Below are 18,690 nucleotides of genomic sequence, written 5' to 3' on the forward strand. Positions count from 1 at the left end.
CCAAAGTGCTGGGATTACAGGCATGAGCCACCGCGCCCGGCCAAAATTCACGGTGGTTTTTATCTGAGATGTCCGCATCACACATTTCCTCACTGCTCTTGAGGTTCCACTGACAATCAGAAGAATTTCAATTTTTACATTAATTTTGTTTTGTTACTGCTTTGGGGAGGCAACTGGAGATGATTCAACATTTATTAAATCAACTCTTTGGGATTAATGGGTGTTCTCTTCTTCTGAAATACAATGTTCTGTTCTGTTTTCATGAGGCTCCAATTGAAAACTCATTCCTGCCCCTGTCCTCATTTCCCTCCCTGGGTCTGTGAACAGCTTTCTGAAGAGACAGAGAGAAGTGAGCTAGCTCTGGGAGTAGGCAGTGGAAGAGCACTACAGTGCTTTCCATACCTAGCTGAAAAGGACCTGTAGAAAATCTGCAGACACATTTATGATCAGGGACTTCTTTCCCTTCCTAACCAAAATAGAAAACAAAGTCTCAGATAAACAGGCCAGATCTCCAAGTCTTGCGCATTTCTCCAGTCCTGTCTGCATTTCCCCCATCTCTACCCTGAGCCAGGCTCCTACCAGCCCCGCAAGGGAAAAGGGAGTAAAACAGCCTTTCAATATGCTTAGGAGGATTTGTCACAGGTGATTCTCCATAAAAGTGTAAGGAGAAAACTTGTAATGCCATATATGAACTGAAATGGACAATCGCAAGATTATGTGTGGCTGAAGACATCACCATTGAGACAGTAAGGCCGGTTAGACGAGCTTTCAGTGACAGAAGTTAAATATGATGCTTTTGAAACACCGATGTGTGTAAAGACACTAAAAACAAATGCAACATAATAGCCAAAACTTGTACTTGACAGAAACACCTAGAGCTACTGCAGGAATGCTTTCTCTGTTTGTGTATACTCTGAGGATGGTTACCACTGAAGTGTTAAGTGGCTAAATTATAATTGCTATGGGAACTGTAAGTGAAACTTGACCTTTGATACACTTACATGTTCAGCCATAACATTGCATTAACAGGCTCTTGCATTTACCTGGTGTATGCGGCTTTGCTTCAGGCTTTCAGGGAGAGTAACTTGAACTAAAAATTGTTTAAGAAGGAGAATGAAGAAAGCTTGATTCCTTTCAAAATCTCATCCACTCCTAGCATCAGAGCTCACTTCTTCAAAATTGTCTTGTAACAATGCTTTTCAAGGCAAGGTAACAAATTCTTGTATAGAGACTACTACTCCTTTAAAATAAATAGTGGACTCTTACTTATCAGAAAGTCAGTTGCCTGACTATTTGTATTGGTTGATTAGGACTTTTGGCTAGGGCCTCTAAACAGTTAGCTTTCCAGTGACTTTCAGAAAGTAGTAGGAGAAAAATAGCTATGGCCCAGTGAGTAGCCATGTGTGAGAAATAACCATCATTAATTATCTCACCGAATTCAAATCACATGAAATTAAAAAATAAGTGAATTGCACACCACAGTGAATAATTCTCTCCATTGTTTTGTTATTGCATTTCCACAAATTAAATAAATTAAACGGATGCAAATTTGATTTATGCACATTTTATGATTTTGCAAATGTGAATATTCTGAGTAAATGTGAACAATTGGACGCATGAAGCCCCTACAAGGTTTCAGAGTACTAAAACCCAAAGAAGCCAAGAAGACTACCTTGGAAAGGAAAGAGGTTATATTTATTAAGCACCTCCTGTGTCCTGGGCACTATGATGGATGCTTTATATATGCAATCTTCTTTTCATCTTTAGGATTCTCCATATGGCAGATGTTGTGAACCAACTTTCCCAATTTACGTGGTTACCTACTGGTGAAATCAGTATTTGAACCTAGTTTTGGGTAACTCTAAACCCCTGAGTTCTTTAAACAGTATCTGTATATTTGCAGATTTCTATACAGCAAATAATATTTGTTATATTATATATAAACATATGACAAGTGATATTTGTTATATGTTTACAAAGTAGCTCAACATTCCATAAAACATTGCATTTGTGCATGAAATACCAACATCAACTAATTTGTCTGTGTAAGGGATGAGGTCGATTAATTGAGCATCAGCTTTTATAACAGTTCATGAAGCACAGGAGTCTGGTTGGCATAAATAAAAATGAAAGGGAAATGGAAAGCAAGAGACTCAAAACAAATGCTTCGGTTTCTTTAGTGACAATTTTTGTATTTATATACAAATGTGTAATTATCATCCACACCGTACATATTAAGAGATGTCTTTTTCATTTGTTAACAACGTGATTAAGATTCTTAAATTTTTAGCTAGCAACTTTTCTACCCTAGCATTTATAGCAGAGGGTCAAAAGCTGACCTTGAAATACCATTTTTTTAAAGCTTTTATTTTTTTTTAGCAGTTTTTGGTTCACAGCAAAATTAAATGGAAAGTTCAGCGAGTTCCCATATCCCCTGTGCCCCTACACATGCACAGCCTCCCCATTATCAATATCCTACACAAGAGTGGTATATTTGTTATACTGGTGAACCTGTATGGACACATCATTATCACCCAAAATCCATAGTTTACATTAGGGTTCACTTTTGGTGGTGTTCTTTCTATAGGTTTGGGCAAATGTTTAATAACATGTTTCCACCATTATAGTATCTTACAGAGCTGTTTCACTGCCCTAAAAATCCTCTGTGCTCCATCTATCCATTCCTCCCTCTCCCTAACCCCTAGCAACCACTGATCATTTTTACTGCCTCGATAGTTCTGCCTTTTACAGAGTGTCATGTAAGTGGAATCAGACAGTATGTAGCCTTTTCAGAATGGCTTCTTTCACTCAGTAATATGCTTTTAAGTTTCCTCCATGTCTTCTCATGGCTTGATAGCTCATTTCCATTTAGCCCTGAATTATATTCCATTGTCTAAAGATACTACAGTTTGTTTATTCACTCACCTACTGAAGGACATATTAGTTGCTTTCAAATTTTGGCAATTATGAATCAAGTTGCTATCAACATTTGTGTGCAGGTTTTTGTGTGGACATAAATTTTCACCTCTTTTGGGTAAATACCAAGGAGCATAATTGCTGAATCATATGGTATGAGCATGTTTACTTTTGTAAGAAACTGCCAAACTGTATTCCAAAGTAGCTGTACCATTTTGTATTCCCACCATTAATGAATGAGAGTTCCTATCGCTCCACATTCTCACCATCATTTGGTGTTGTATGTGTTTGGGATTTGGGGTTCTAATTGGTGTGGAGTTGTTACATTGCCTTTTTAAGCACAATATAGTATTTCAATAGGCAATGTACTAGAGACATGTTATTCTAAGTTATAATACAAAATCTTGGCATGTCAATTTTCTCTTGCTCTCTCCGTAGGTTAACCATTGACCCCTGCAGACATTTAAGCTTGCTCATCCTAATGTAGAACTGTTCCTTCAAATGGAGTATATATTATTTCCTAGAGGAATAAAACTGTGTTTCCTTTATAGTTAATAGAAACAAAAAGTCAAGATGTCTTCTAGTAGTCCATTGGACAGGTTACCAAATTTCAGAACGAATCTTCAACTTCTCAGGTTCTGAAATTCAGTCTCAGCATCATGTTAGCATTGACTAGATTCAATGGAATGGATTCCCAGTATGTGAACTCGTGAAAAATTGATGTTTAAGCTAAATGCGCATTTCTTCCTAGGTACTGATATGATTGTGCCTGCATTCCATGAGACCCACTTTCTAAGATCATGTTGACTGGGTATTGTGGCTAGTCCATAAAGTTGGAACAGACCTCCATCCAAAATTTGATTTAGGTTTCCAGGCTAGTGATGCCACACACACACACACACACACACACACACACACACACACCACAGGAGGGTATGAAGAGGTTTATTACTCCCATAATGATGCTTTCTGGAGAAAGCAGGATAGGCATCTCAAGTTGAAAATGTCTTGAGAGAGCTGGGATAAAATTAAAGGAGACTGGCTTTGGGTTTTAATGTGGTTAAGGGACAGGGTTGGGGTGAGGGTGGCAGTGTATGATTCGAACTTACTGCTGGTTACAGAAGAGGAGCACCTGAGGATTTTTGTCAGCTTGCCCCAGTGTTGGACAGAAAGAGAAGATGGAAGGGTTAGGCTGAAAAGATGTCTGCAGTCAAACGTCAAAAAATGGAGTCAGACTCTATTGCACAGGGTGTTCAGATTAGCAAGAAAAAGATTGTTTAGTTAACATGGAATTGAAGCAAAGTATGGTGACCCCTCTTGAAATGGTCCATACTATGAATGGTTAAGTCTAAGTGGCATCTCTGTCTCACAACAATGTAAGCCTTTTTGGATTCCAGCATATGAGGCTTTTGTGTCTCTACCTTTTGATCACTGTTAGGAAAGAGAAGCCCTATAAATTCTTGCTATTTACTTCTGTTTATACATTTTTCTTCAAAACATTATTTGATGTTGGAGATGTCAATACATTTTCTGACGCAGTCCTTCTTGCACTTTAAACTGGGTGTCAATACATCTTTTTTGGTAATTTCTTCAGGTTAGTAAATCTCATCTGTTATGGGTAGAATAAGACTATTTTAACTCATAGTGTTCCAAGGAAACTACTATCTACCATCTACAATTACTTTCAGTATTTTAACAAACTGGATGACAGTGTCTTCTTTCTGTTGCTTATGAAGTCTCATCCTGAATGTTATTACAAAACACTGACCCTACTCTTCCATGTCACCATTTAAAAGGATAAAAATGTATATATTGTGGAATATTGGTAACAGCAGAGAAAATTCCTAGTAATAATTATGTGATGCATAAAGAGTAAAGTAGTAAAGATGAGATCAATTCTGAAGGACTGTGGCTGATGGTCCTATATCTATGCTGAGAACAAAAGAATATACTCAAAGAGAAATAGAAAATATTCAGAATACATTTGAAAAACAACTGCAAAAATAGTGGAGATTCAGAGAAAAACCTCTTCTTAAAGGATTTATTTAAAACTGTTTATTTTTTATTGTTTTTTATTCTCATATATTTAAGGAGTGCCAGTGCACTCCTTTCAAGTATTACATGGATATATTGCATAGCAGTGAGGTCTGGGCTTTTAGTGTAACTATCACTCAAATAATGTACATTTTATCCGTTAAGTAATTTCTCATCCCTTACCTTCCCCTCGTCCTTCTGAGTCCCCATTGTCTATCATTCCACTCTGTATGTCCATGTGTACACATTATTTACTTCCCACTTATAAGTGAGAACATGCTGTATTTGACTTTCTGTTTCTGCTGTTTCACTTAAGATAATGGCCTACAGTTTCATTCATGTTGCTGCAAAAGACATGATTTCATTTTTTTATGGCCAAATAGTATTCCATTGTGTACATGACATATTTTCTTTATCTAATTATCCATTGATGATCACTTAGGTTGATTGCATATCTTTGCTATTATGAATAGTTTTGTGATAAACATACAAGTGCAGGTGCCTTTTTTTATAGAATGACTTCTTTTCTTTTGGGTAGATACTCGGTAGTGGATTGCTGGATTTCTATGTTTAGTTATTTGAGAAATCTGCCTACTGTTTTCCATAGAGGTTGTACTAATTTACATTTCCATCAACAGTATATAAGCATTCTCTTTTCTCTGCATCCTCACCAGCATCTGTTATTTTTTGACTTTTTAAATAGTAGCCATTCTGACTGGCACCTGGTGATGTCTCATTGTGCTTTTAATTTGCATTTCTCTGATAAGTAGTGATGTGAGTATTTTTTCATATGCTTGTTGGCCATGTGTATGTCTTCTTTTGAAAAATATCTGTTCATGTCCTTTGCCTACTTTTTAATGGAGTTGGTTCCAGGAAAATTGAATTTCCTTATGCAGAAGAATGAAACTGGACTCCTATTTCTCACCATATAAAAAAAGCAACTCAAGGTGGATTAAAGACCTACATGTAAGACATGAAACTACAAAAATACTAGAAGAAAACTTAGGAAAAACTTCTGGACATTGGCCTAGGCAAAAAAAATCATGAGTAAGATCTCAAAAGCACAATCAATGAAAACAAAAATAGACAAATTGGATTTGATTAAACTAAAAAGCTTCTGCACAGCAAAAGAAATAACAGAGTGAACAGACAACCTGCAGAATGGGAAAAAGTATTTAAACTATGCATGTAACAGGGGACTAATATCTAGAATCTACAAGGGACACAGACAGCTCAAGAACAACAACCAGAAAAACCATCTCATTAAAAAGTAAACTGTATATTTTTAAATATGCTTATAAGTAAAAGAACAAAGTAGATTCTTGCCTCCAGCAGTCTAGTGCTTCTTAATCTATTTGAAGTCATACATTTGTGTGAGAATTGACGAAAATCCTTGGTGGAGAGAAAATAGGCATGAAGCAACATTTGCATTTGACCTATAATGTATGAATAGCATAACGGTATTATGCTATTCAATACTAACTTTAGCCTGTTTGGCAGGTAAACATTATTTCAAAAGGGAAAGTTTGTTTCATAAGCTACTTAGTCCTTACTAGAGCAGTTTCTCATTATTGACTGGCTATGTTCATTTAGAGTTTCCAAGAGAATCTGTCGTTGTATTTTGTAACTCAGCTAATACCACCCTGTTAAAGAGATGTACAGTCTTACACTTACAGGAATATGTTGAGAATTAAAAGGCTACTTAGGCAAGGCTTACAAGGATCAGGTATGCAAATAATAATAGCAACCTTTGATTGGGTGGTTTGCCATGTTCCAGGAACAGTACAAAGCACTATCTCATTTAATCTTCCAACAACTTATGATAGGGGTATTAATCCCATTTCGTTGATGAGTAAACTGAGGCTCAGAAAGATTAGATAATTTGCCCAAGTATTTGTTGAGCACTTCCTGAATGTTTGATACTATAGAGAAGGATACAAATGAAGCAAAATATGGATCCAGTAAAACTTTTTAAACTTAACAAAAAGTTTAATTAATATATTTTTTAAATATCTATAATTGAAATTATGAAAGGCAGTTTCTAGCCTATGGTTTCATTATACCTTAAACTAATGATGTGGAGCATTGACTTCTTTCAAAACTCTCTGAGTATTCATTTAAGAAATGAAGTATTGTATCAGAGGCTCTGTTGATCATGGCTATCAAGCAAGTAGACATACCTCAGATATTTGAACTCAAGAAAAAGCAAAATCTCAGACTTAATATAAGACCATTTGTATGAACCAAAACTCATCTCTATGGATTGAACATAGAGCAAATGATCAACATAGCTTAATGGTGATATTAAATGTAATGATTATATTAAGTGTAATGGTGACATTAAATGTATTTCAAGTAGATGTGACATTGCTGCCTCTTTATTTATAGCTGCGAACAGCTGTGTACTTTCAAAATAACAAATTTTTAATGAGAAAAAAGAAAAGCAAAAAACATGCTTGGAGAGTTTCTTTTTATGCTTACTGTTTTGACACAGTTTTGCGCATAGGTGATATATTTATATTCTCTCCATTATTCTGTTTTTTATTTTAATTTTAACTTAATTTTATTTTATTTTGAGACTGAGTCTCACTTTGTTGCCGGGCTGGAGTGCAGCCGGGCATGATCTCTGCTCACTGCAAGCCCCACCTCCCAGGTTCATGCCATTCTCCTGCCTCAGCCTCCGGAGTAGCTGGGACTACAGGCACCTGCCACCATGCCCAGCTAATTTTTGTATTTTTAGTAGAGACAGGGTTTCACCACGTTGGCCAGGATGGTCTCAATCTCTTGACCTCTTGATCCGCCTGCCTCGGCCTCCCAAAGTGCTGGGATATCAGGTGTGAGCCACCGCGCCTGGCCTCTCCCATTATTCTTTTACATTTAAATCATACCATCTTCCCTTTATGTTTATCAGTAATGTTCATAGCTTTGTTAGAAGACAAAGGCTTTAGAGCATTCATGTTTTGATTTTTTTTCCTTTTGAACATTTTTTTAAAAACTGAAGCATAAAAATTTTAGATCTCTGTGAAACAATGCTACAATCAACTCTATATTTCTACCTAGAAAGGTAGGAAAAGACCACAATTATTTTTAGATTTAAAGATACTTTCTGCGTCATAACCACTATTTTCTTTCCTATGCCCCCTCATCGCACCCCCTGCCTCTCATGATCATCCAGAGGCATTTGAAGTTCATTAATTTCCTCCTTTTCTCTTCTATTTGACCTCTGCATTTATCTATCTTCTTGTCAATCATTTATTCTGTGTGCCAGGTGCTAGGCAAGTGGCAGAGATACAAAGATAAAAATCATATTCCTGTTCTCAATGTACTTAAAGTCTAAAGGAGAAGACAGATGTGCAAACAATTGCAGTAACCACTGTAAAGGTAAAGGACATCAGCTCAGTCTTAGTGGTTGAGCTGGGCCTGTTAAGGAAGCCAAAGGTAATAGGTATGACTCAAGTGTGGGCATATGTTAGGAGAAAGGGTAGAAGCTGAAAATGGAAATGCATGCAGGCCAGCTCACATATGCCATAGTGTATGACACAATCAGGAATTCAAATTTTATCGTGAATCATATTAACAAGGCATAAAAATTAAAGAACTGTCAGCAAGAGAATGAAATGAACATATATGCATTTTGAAAAGATCTCAGCCGGGCGCGGTGGCTCACGCCTGTAATCCCAGCACTTTGGGAGGCCGAGGCGGGTGGATCACGAGGTCAGGAGTTTGAGACCATCCTGGCCAACATGGTGAAGCCCCGTCTCTACTAAAAATACAAAAAAATTAGCCGGGCGTGGTGGCGGGTGCCTGTAGTCCCAGCTACTCTGGAGGCTGAGGCAGGAGAATGGCGTGAACCCGGGAGGCGGAGCTTGCAGTGAGCCGAGATCGCTCCACTGCGCTCCAGCCTGGGGGACAGAGCGAGACCCCGTCTCAAAAAAAAAAAAAAAAGAAAGAAAAGAAACAAACAAACAAAAGATCTCACTGGCAGCAGTGTGGAGGCAGAATGGACAAGATTCACATATTCACATAAAAGATGGCAGGCAGAGGTCTCAAGCACTTGCGGTAAGAATGTGGAAGCGACACACGTGAAAGAGGTTGACTGAGGCAGGTTCTCCAGACTTTATAGATTGATCTTATGTGAGGAGTAAGTGAGATGGAGATAAGTCTCGTGTTTCTGGCTAGAGTGACCAGGAGTAAGATGGTGGCATTAATCAGGATTAGAGATTGATTCATTTTTTAAAATATGTTGTATTGGTAGTGCCACTGAGACATCTGAATAGAGTAGTAGAAAACCCAATTAGATGTGAGTTTAAGGCTCAGGAGAGAAGTATGGGCTATGATAATATATCGATTTAAGAGTCATCATAGTTGAAGCTCTATGAGTGACATCATCAGTAGTTTCATTAAAAATGAAAACAAACAAGGGTTAAGGGTGGCACTTAAGGGAAGGCCTTCTTAAGGACCAAACTGGGGGACTTCTAGGCCATATGGTGCCTTTATGTGAATTAGAAAGCACCTTTATTGCTATCGGCCAGAAAGTCATTATAATGAATTTATGAAGATTACAGTGTGAATGGTACTCCCTGGTGCTGGGCAGTACACAGCCTCCCCAAACCATGCCATGAGGCCAGCAGTGAAAAATCAGCTGGCAAGGAGACTAAGAAGGAGCCACCAGGCAGATAAGAAGAAATCAAGTGGTGTAGAAACGAAGAGAATAGAGTTTCAAAGCCGAAAGAGTGGCACGGCTGTCAACTATGACTCAGAAGTAAGGTACATGGGATCTGAAAGTATTCGACAATCAGTCTTCTTCTAAATTTGGGATGCTCTCTCTCTCCTACCTCTTGAAGGTGCTTGACCCCAGCCACTGTCTGTTGGGGTTCAATCAGGCTGGTGGGAAAAATATTAGAGATAGTTATAGAAATAGACACAAATCTTGTTGGAAGGCTGAGAAGTTTGCATAACTTTGGTAATAGATCTGGCTGGAGGCAGCCTGATCCCTTTACCTTTAGTTAAACAAATTAAAATAGCAATAAAGGAAGAGTAGTTTACCTAGCTAACTTGTTTACTCATATAATCTTAAGACTAACCTTTGATGTACCGTGGGTGCTTAAGTGCGTTTTACTCAGGAAGCCCACAATGTCAATTACCCTCTAATGGTGTTGACTCAAGCTTTTGTTAATTAATCTTACTGAATAAATGTGAGTCTGACTAGCTGATCAGGGCCAGTCGCAACTGTTTACAGGACTCAGCAGGGAGTCTATAAGCGGCTCGAACACAGCTGGACTGGCAGAGGAGAATATCTGTGTGTCAGTGTACTTTATTCATCCGTCACCAGGTCAGGGGTCTGCAAGGGACAGACTCCCTGCAGCTGGTGCCCCCTTGAGAGGAGTGCTGCCGCAACTATCCCTTCCACCCTGTCTAGCATTTGGATGCCCTATACATCATCTTCCTTTCCGTCTTCCTTTTGCTTGAAGGTTTCCTCTCTCTCCTCCTGTTTTGAATCTGGATACATTTTGGTTTGTTTCTCATTCCTCTTACTGTTTCACAGATGCTGCCATTATTTGCACCTGAGCCTGCCCTCTTAGAATTACAGTCTTTTCTTTAGGTCTTCACAAGACATGTTTGTTTTAAACACAATTCTTATAGACATCTACTGCCCTTTACATACGTGTGAGCATATATTTGTATTTGAATACAGATACCTTCTGAACAAGATATGAAAGGGAGTTTGAGGTCTCCTTCATATACGCTGTCATCATTTTGGACAAGGAAAATGTTACCAGCCTGATTTCAGACAGTTATACCAAACCATCTGGCCCCTTAACTCAAGTGCCTTCTTCCTCTATATGTAGACTTGAGTCCGGGGCATAAATGGAGGTCAAGTAATAGACTCATCAAGGGAAGAACTTTACTTCCTATTGTGTATTACAGTGAAACTTATAAGATGAATTCACCATAATGTGTATAATGGCATTATTCATGTTTTGAATTGTGACTGATGACTTTGCTATACCTGGGTCAAACCTGAGCCCATTATTTCACTAGAACTGCACTGTTTAGTATAATAGCCATTAGCCACATGTCACTATATAAAATTGAAATGTAATTAATTAAAATTAAATAAAAATAAAAACTCAATTTTCCAGTCACACTAGCCACCTTTTAAGTGCTAAGTCGTTTGGCTAGTGGTTACTGTATTGGACAGTGCAGATTTCCACCACTACAGAAAGTTTTATTGGACAGCACTGCACCAGAAGACTGTTGATTGTTTCTGTTAGTTCTCGGCTTTGGATGATGACTCTCAGGAAATAAGTGAGTTCCTCTGCAATAGTGCACAATTTATATTATACCACATAGAGGATTTTTTTGTGTATTTGATATAATTTTTAAAAAGAGGTAATTAACTTTCAGTCAGCATCTTCAGTGCTCTAAGTGCTTTATATTAGTTATACTTATTGCTAATTTATTATTATTATTATTTTCTATTAATTATCTTATGTTGTCACCATCATTTTACAAAGCAGGAAAATAGGGTTAGGAGAGGACAAGTGACACAAACTCACATCTATCTGGTCCAAAATCTACCTGTTCAAAGCTGCTTTCCAAAAATCACCACATGGTTATATTTTCTTTTTTGCAAGTAAAATATAGTACATGATCATTGGGGTATACCCAGAAGATAATGGCAGAAACTTCTAGACTCCTCAAAAAGCTGTTTGTATTCTCAAATGGACATTTATTTAACAGATCAACATGGTGGCAGTCATCACTACCAACTTTTAAGAACGTACTGATAGAGTCATTTATTTCCTTGCTATTAAAAAACAAGTCTGACAGGCACTAGCAGTAAGATCTAGTTTGCATATTTGTCCCTTCCAAATCTCATGGTAAAATGTAATCCCCAGTGTTGGAGGTCGGGCCTGGTAAGAGGTGTTTGGGTCATGGGGGCGGATCCCTCATAAATGGCTTGATGCCATCCTTGCAGTAATGAGAGGAGTTCTTGTTTTTAGTTCACACCAAAGCTGGTTGTTTAAAGAAGCCTGGAACCTCCTTCCCTCTCTTTTGCTCCCTCTCTCTCCATGTGAGACACTGGCTCTCCTTCACCTTCCACCATGCTTGTAAACTTCCTGAGGCTTCCTCAGAAGCAGATGCTGGCACTATGCTTCCTGTTTGGCCTGCAAAACCGTGAGCCAAATAAACCTCTTTTCTTTGTAAATTACCCAGTCTCGGGTATCACTTTATAGCAATGCAAACTAACACACAGGACATTCCAGTGAAACAATGATCCCAAATTCATTCTAGAAATATCTTCATAGAAAATCTGAGAATCATAAAAGAAATTAGTCTCAGTAATCTTTTTCTAGAAGATGGATGCTATTTTGGTCAACTTATACATAAGACCCTGAGAATTTATGGAAACGACATTAGAAGTGGTTTTATAGTTTACCTTAAAGATGACTTCTAAAGAAAGAACTGATATTTTGTATTTTACAGAGAAGAGGAGCACTTTATAAAATTTCATTTTGTTAAATTTTTATCTTAAAGTTGTGGTCTTTGGTTTATGTGACATTCTAACAAGCCAGGACTCTCTTCCTTAAGCCACACACATGAAAATTAAAATAAAGTAATTCTCCTACCACAGTGTAACTGCTTTGCATTTATCGTTTTTGCAGGAAAGCGATTTATGCTGCACACCTACCCTCCTTTGCAAAGAAGTATTACCTAGTTGAGAGGTAATAATTCTTGGTTTTTGGTACACATGATAGAATCATCCAAGATGAGTTCCTGGTGTGAAATGTAATTAGTGGGAATGGTCTACATACTTATACTTGGGCCCAAGAAAATCTCTAAGTCACAGCAATTGTATTAGGCCTGTATGGTCATCCACCTCTGAGGTGACTGAATCCATTTCATTCCCCACAATATTGTTTTACCTGAATGAAAAACTATATTTTGGTGTAGGAGTGAAGGATACAATTGGGCATGGTGTGTGAGAACCACCAGAAGCTCATAAATGGTAGAAGATTCTCAGGTAGATGAAAATTATGTCGGCCGGGGGCGGTGGCTCACGCCTGTAATCCCAGCACTTTGGGAGACAGAGGAGGGTGGATCACGAGGTCAGGAGATCGAGACCATCCTGGCTAACACAGTGAAACCCCGTCTCTACTAAAAATACAAAAAAATTAGCCGGGCGTGGTGGCGGGCGCCTGTAGTCCCAGCTACTCGGGAGGCTGAGGCAGGAGAATGGCGTGAACCTGGGAGGCGGAGCTTGCAGTGAGCCGAGATTGCGCCACCACACTCCAGCCTGGGAGAGAGAGTGAGATTCCATCTCAAAAAAAAAAAAAAAAAAAAAAAAGAAAATTATGTCAGAGGTAAAGTGTAGCCTTTCAGTAGAATCCAAAGTGGTAAAACCCAGCATGATTTTGTAATCAATAACTTGGCAAGTAGCACAGTCAACTTGCAGCAACTTTTTTCTGCTATTTGAGTATAGCAGCAAGTGGGAAAGATGTCTGCGTACAAAATGGAAATAAATTTGTTCTCCAGACAGATGCAGATTTTTTCACATTTTTTTTTCAAGTACCTCCTCTAAACCAGGACTATGTTGGCCCTGAAGAGACAGTGAAGACACGGCCCCTGTCTTCACAGGGATGATATTCTAATGGGGTGATATCAAGAGGTACATATAAAATGAAACAATGCCAAATTGCCATAGGGAAGATAATTAACATGAATCTGACAGATAGTAACATGAGGACTCATTTACTCTACATAGGGTGTTTAAGAGGGCCTCTATGGGGATGAGGCATTTAAAGCTTAGACTTTAAGTGTAAAGCAGAAACTATCTTTGTAAGGTGTGGTCTCCACAGAAGGCCTGTGCAAAGGCCCTGGGGTGAGATTGGGCTCCATCTTAGTCCAATCTTGCACTGCTATAAAGAAATACGAGAGACTGGGTAATTTACACAGGAAATAGGTTTGATTGGCTCACGGTTCTGCAGGATGTGCAGGAAGCATATTGGCTTCTGCTTCTAGAAAGGCCTTAGGTAACAATCATGGCGGAAGGGGAAGAGGAAGCAGGCACATCTTACATGGCCAGAGCAGGAGGAAATGGGTGGAAGCGGGGAGGTGCTACACACTTTTAAACAACCGGATCTCAGAATAACTCACTCATTCACTATCACGGGAACAGCACCAAGGAGATGGTGCTAACCCATTCATGAGAACTTCACTCCCATGATCCCATCACCTCCCACCAGGCCCCACCTCCAACAATGGAGATTATAATTCAACATGAGATTTGGTGGAGACACAGATCCAAACCATATCAAGCTCTATACCTGCTCAGCTGCCATGTGCTCTTACAAGATCTTTTTCTTGATGGAATCTTAGTGATGGTCCATTTATGATATCAAAATAATTACAAAACTTTTTACATTGTTGCTTTCATGGAGAAATTTGAGGTTCTCCATTGACTTATACAGTGGAACCCACCATATGCAAATCACCCTTGTTGCTGTGACTGGGTATGTTACTACAAGTTTATGCATTTTACTGTGTCCAGGAAATAGTACTTGTTTGTCGCTTACCAGATCTGAATTATTACAGAGATTTTCAGAGGTATGGATAGAGGTCTGTCAAACAGGGATAAAGCATTATTTTATCTAGTCTCAGCAAAGAACATGTCTGATAATTTCCAGTGTTCTTGATGTGTTATACCAAAATTTGTTCTCTTACCCTACGTGTTCTGCTGATCTGAAGCACAAAATTTCCACATCATAGTGTTTGTTGAATGGTTAAAAGAGAAGAAAAAAATGAATGACATGTGGATACTAAAATCTATTCCACACTTTAAGCTCCTGCTGTTTTGGTAGGTATGTGGTGATAGTGCAGCCAAATGCTACCAGAGGCTACAGAACAGGTTCTGAAGACAAGGAGGCCAATGAAATGGAAAAAAAGCTTCATGGTCCTTTAAATCTGGATGAAATAATAGTACTACCCAAACTCAAAGGTTCTCACATAGAGGGAAAACAAGAAGCATCCTTGATGTCTGAAAGGGTCTCAGTGATTCAGAAATCTCCATTTCTAGGAAATAGCAACTATGTCACACAGCTGAATGTTAAAGGAGGCTGCAGATGTTTAATATTAAAGAGGTCCGGAACTTATTCTTGTTTTTGCTTTTTTTTTTTAATTAGCTGTATTTTATTTTTCTGGATTGTGGGGATTAGATGCTCATTATGAAAAGCTGATTTTTAAAAAAACCAATCCCTCTACTTTGACTAGAGGCTAGGAATTATGTCTTAATGGTAGCTATCTCCCAGGAGTAGAAGCATAATAAAGATGCAATTTATTAAATAGTGTTTCCCTTTCATTTACTCTCAGATACTCACTAGTCATTGCTGGGAAGCATATTCAGCCAGTGAGAATGGTTCTATACCACTTATTTGTCTGACTTGTTTCCCAAGGGAATGGATGAGGACCACCCAAAGATCCAGCAGTCCTCACCCTTGTGCAGAATTGAACCAAGCAGCTTGTCTTTCATCAGGTTTTGCATATTGGATCACAGTGACTTCTATTGCCTATTGAACTTTTTCAGATTGTTGCAACATTCCTTCGAGATTTGGTACCAGGAGCAATTAAGCCAGTATATTCCAAAGGTGACGCCAGAGTTTACCTGATACAAATACTTGGCTCATCTGTGCTAAGACTGATTGAGAAAATGTACTGAAATGTTCCAGATGCTGGCATATATTTAACCTGGCACAAGGCCTCAGACCCTGAGAGCCCTGCCCCATGGTACCACAGGGCACACAACTTTCCCACAAAGTTCATCTGTGGCTGTCATGGATAAAATAATGGTTTGGCTTTGCTTTAGTGCCTCTGGCCCCTTTCAGGCAATCAAAAATATTTATTGACCCCTAACTAAATGGAAGGCACAGTGGGACTCAATTCTCACAATTTCTGCCTCTAATTGGGGAATTAAGACACACAGACATTTAAGGAAGGGAAAGAATAGGCTAAGTGTTAAATAGGAATAAAAGAAGATGATAATATGAAATGACATAAGGCAGTTCATGTTTACTTGCCAAAGGACTGATGTAACTACAGTGGGCTTGGTGGAGAGAGACACACCTGGCATCCCAGAGTAGCGTGGGCAGGCATCAGGGATGAAGTCAGATTTGGTGTGAGCATCGGATAGGTCAGTGATTCTCAACCCACCCTGGACATAAGGGCCATCTGGAAAGATTTCAAAAAATGCCAAATAGGATGCCACCAGCCGGGCACAGAAGAGGAGTGGGAATGTCTGAAGAAGGACATAAAGGTTTCAGCAAACAAGCTTTGGTCTGCCAACCAAAGCTTGTTTGGTTGTAGGAGAAAGTTGGTGTGAGAGAAAAAAAGAGAGAAGGCAGAAAAGTCAGGTTGCATCTGACTCTTAAATGGTCTTGCATACCAGGCCAAGGAATTTGGAAACGTATTTGACAATCTTTCTTCTGTTGAGGACAATGGAGTAAATTTAGCCACAACGCCTGACTTTTTCAGCTGGAGAAATATTTGCTTTCCTCCGTATCATGTATTTCCTCACTTCCCACTCTGGCCCCCTGCTTAGAAACTTCGGTTTAACAGGAAATAAGTGTAGACACATGCTAATACTTCACCAGTTCCTCATTCTCTCAAATACAGGATCCTGGCTGATACTATGGGAATGTGATTCAGAAAGTACAAGTACTATGTAGAATTCCCCTGAGTAGTAGCCAGGAGGGGTCACCAAGAGGCAGCAAATTTAGTCTCTCCAACAAGGTAAAGCAGGCCACCCTGGGTTCTCATCCCATTTACAAGGACAAAGGGAGTCGGCACTATCACCTCCAGAATTACGGATGCTTTCACTACAGTTTCCATTTACTTGCTACTATGGTTTGTTCTCGTTTCTCTGATTTTTTTTTCTCTTTTTCCCTTTTTTGAAGAATGGACCTGGGTAAAGTTATGATCATATTATGGCTAATATTGGGCTGAAACAGACTGGATGGATGGATGGATAGATAGACAGATGATACATAGGGATAGATTATTTGTGAAGAGGACTGCCTAACTAAAAGGAAATATTTCAGCTTACAGCTGGCACTTTATAAGACTCTTTGCAGATAAAATTCTGTTAGACCTTTAAAGAAAATAAATTTCACACTACTGTCCTAATGCAGGAACTTGAACACAGCACATTAACTGTAAGTCTTTGCTTATTCATATGGTGAGACTTATTTAGGCCAGGCATGGTGGCTCACACCTGTGGTCCCAGCATTTTGGGAGGCCAGGACAGGAGGATTACTTGGGTCCAGAAGCTCAAGCCCAGCCTAGTCAACAGACCGAGATCCCCATCCCTATGAAATATGTTTTAAAAACTTATATAAAATAGTATTTCAAGTCAGTTTGTGTATTAGTATTAAAAGAAGTGTGTTGCTTTGCAGCTGACTAGAAGCTCAGCATTTCCTAGCTGGGCAAGAGCTTTGAGCATGATTGCAGCATCTCTGCAGAAAAACTACATTCTAAAAGCAACGGAAATCCTCCTGCTGCCCTTCTTCCTCTGAACTGAAGTTTAAAGACCATGGGCACTGCTGGTGACCTCCACAGAGTGTTTCAGTTCCTACCCTCTACTCCCACTCAGCATCACTGAACAGACACAGGCTAGACAGGGCAGTCTGCAGCCCAGACTGTGGTGAGGTGGGAACTGCAGTCCTACTACTTGGTCCATTGAAAGAGGAGGCCAAGAGGCAGAAAATGTTCCCTCTTAATTTTACCGTGTAACCTTTCTTAAGGTGTGGCATGCAACTATGTAATGATCACAATTGTTATATTGTTTATACATCATTTATATTTCTATCATCAGATTTTACTCAAAGGTTTACTGTGGTTGGCTTCACAAGAAGTGTAATTCTGCGTTATTCAGGTATCAGGAAGTGTTTATTAAAACTCTGGTCTTGAGCTGAGTGCCAGAGAGAAAAAAAAAATGCCCACCTGTTGGCCAGTCTAGCTCTGGAGACAAAATTATAAAATATGAGCTAATTAGAGAGTAAATGAATGCTAAAGTGAGAGATGTTTACAACAGCTGCAGGACACATTCTGAAAAGGAAATCATTGTGTGCACTGGAGTGTTTATCTGAAACCTAGAATTGGACTAATGAGTAGGATTTTATTTCTTAGTAGTGCGGGGAAAATGAGCAAAATCATGGGAGAATGTTCCAATGGCAAAATGCAACCTCGGTGTGGCAAAATAGAAGCTAATGTGAGGAAACCAACCTGCTTTAGGTGGTTTAGTCTGATGAAGACACACAGACTACTCAAAAGGGAGAACGAGGCAAGTCAGAAGACAGGCTCAGAGGCTATTGCAGAAATTCAGGCAGGAGGTAATTCAGACCTGAACTAATCTTAAAAAAAAAAAAAAGTACTACACAGGAAAAGCAATAAGAAGACCCACGGGGAATTTCACTGGAAGAGTCCAAGGGTCATATAATGTTTCCAGCTAAAGAGGAAGGTGAGAGATCATATACTTTAATGAGTAACAAAATGCTGTCCCCTGGCATCAGTGTTTTCAGCAGTTATTGCCTTTAGAGATGCTTTTGATTTTACAAGTGTATTCCTATGCTTAAAGTCTTCTCTCACTATCTTCTTTCTTACCTTAGATAAGATGCATCAGGTCAATCGTCAATGTATTGATTTTGAGGTTGGACTATCTTGGGCTCCAAGTCTTCTAGAACT

At 38.9% G+C, this 18,690-nt stretch overlaps 1 protein-coding gene across 3 annotated transcripts in view; it reads left to right on the top strand.

Moving 5' to 3' along the window:
- Positions 1-18,690, top strand: part of FAR2 (fatty acyl-CoA reductase 2) — a 186,339-nt gene that overhangs the window by 41,443 nt on the left and 126,206 nt on the right. Inside the window, exon 1 of one of the 3 annotated variants that reach the window (XM_011520748.4) lies at positions 7,848-18,466. The exons of 1 other annotated variant lie outside the window; for it this stretch is intronic. In XM_011520748.4, coding sequence (XP_011519050.1) covers positions 18,445-18,466 — 22 coding nt within the window. In that variant the 5' untranslated portion in view covers positions 7,848-18,444. Of the gene's footprint in view, positions 1-7,847; positions 18,467-18,690 lie in introns of those variants that run through there. One more of the 3 variants, XM_011520747.3, reaches the window with a different exon arrangement.

Source organism: Homo sapiens, chromosome 12 (genome assembly GCF_000001405.40).
Source record: "Homo sapiens chromosome 12, GRCh38.p14 Primary Assembly".
NCBI classification, from domain to species: Eukaryota; Metazoa; Chordata; class Mammalia; order Primates; family Hominidae; genus Homo; species Homo sapiens.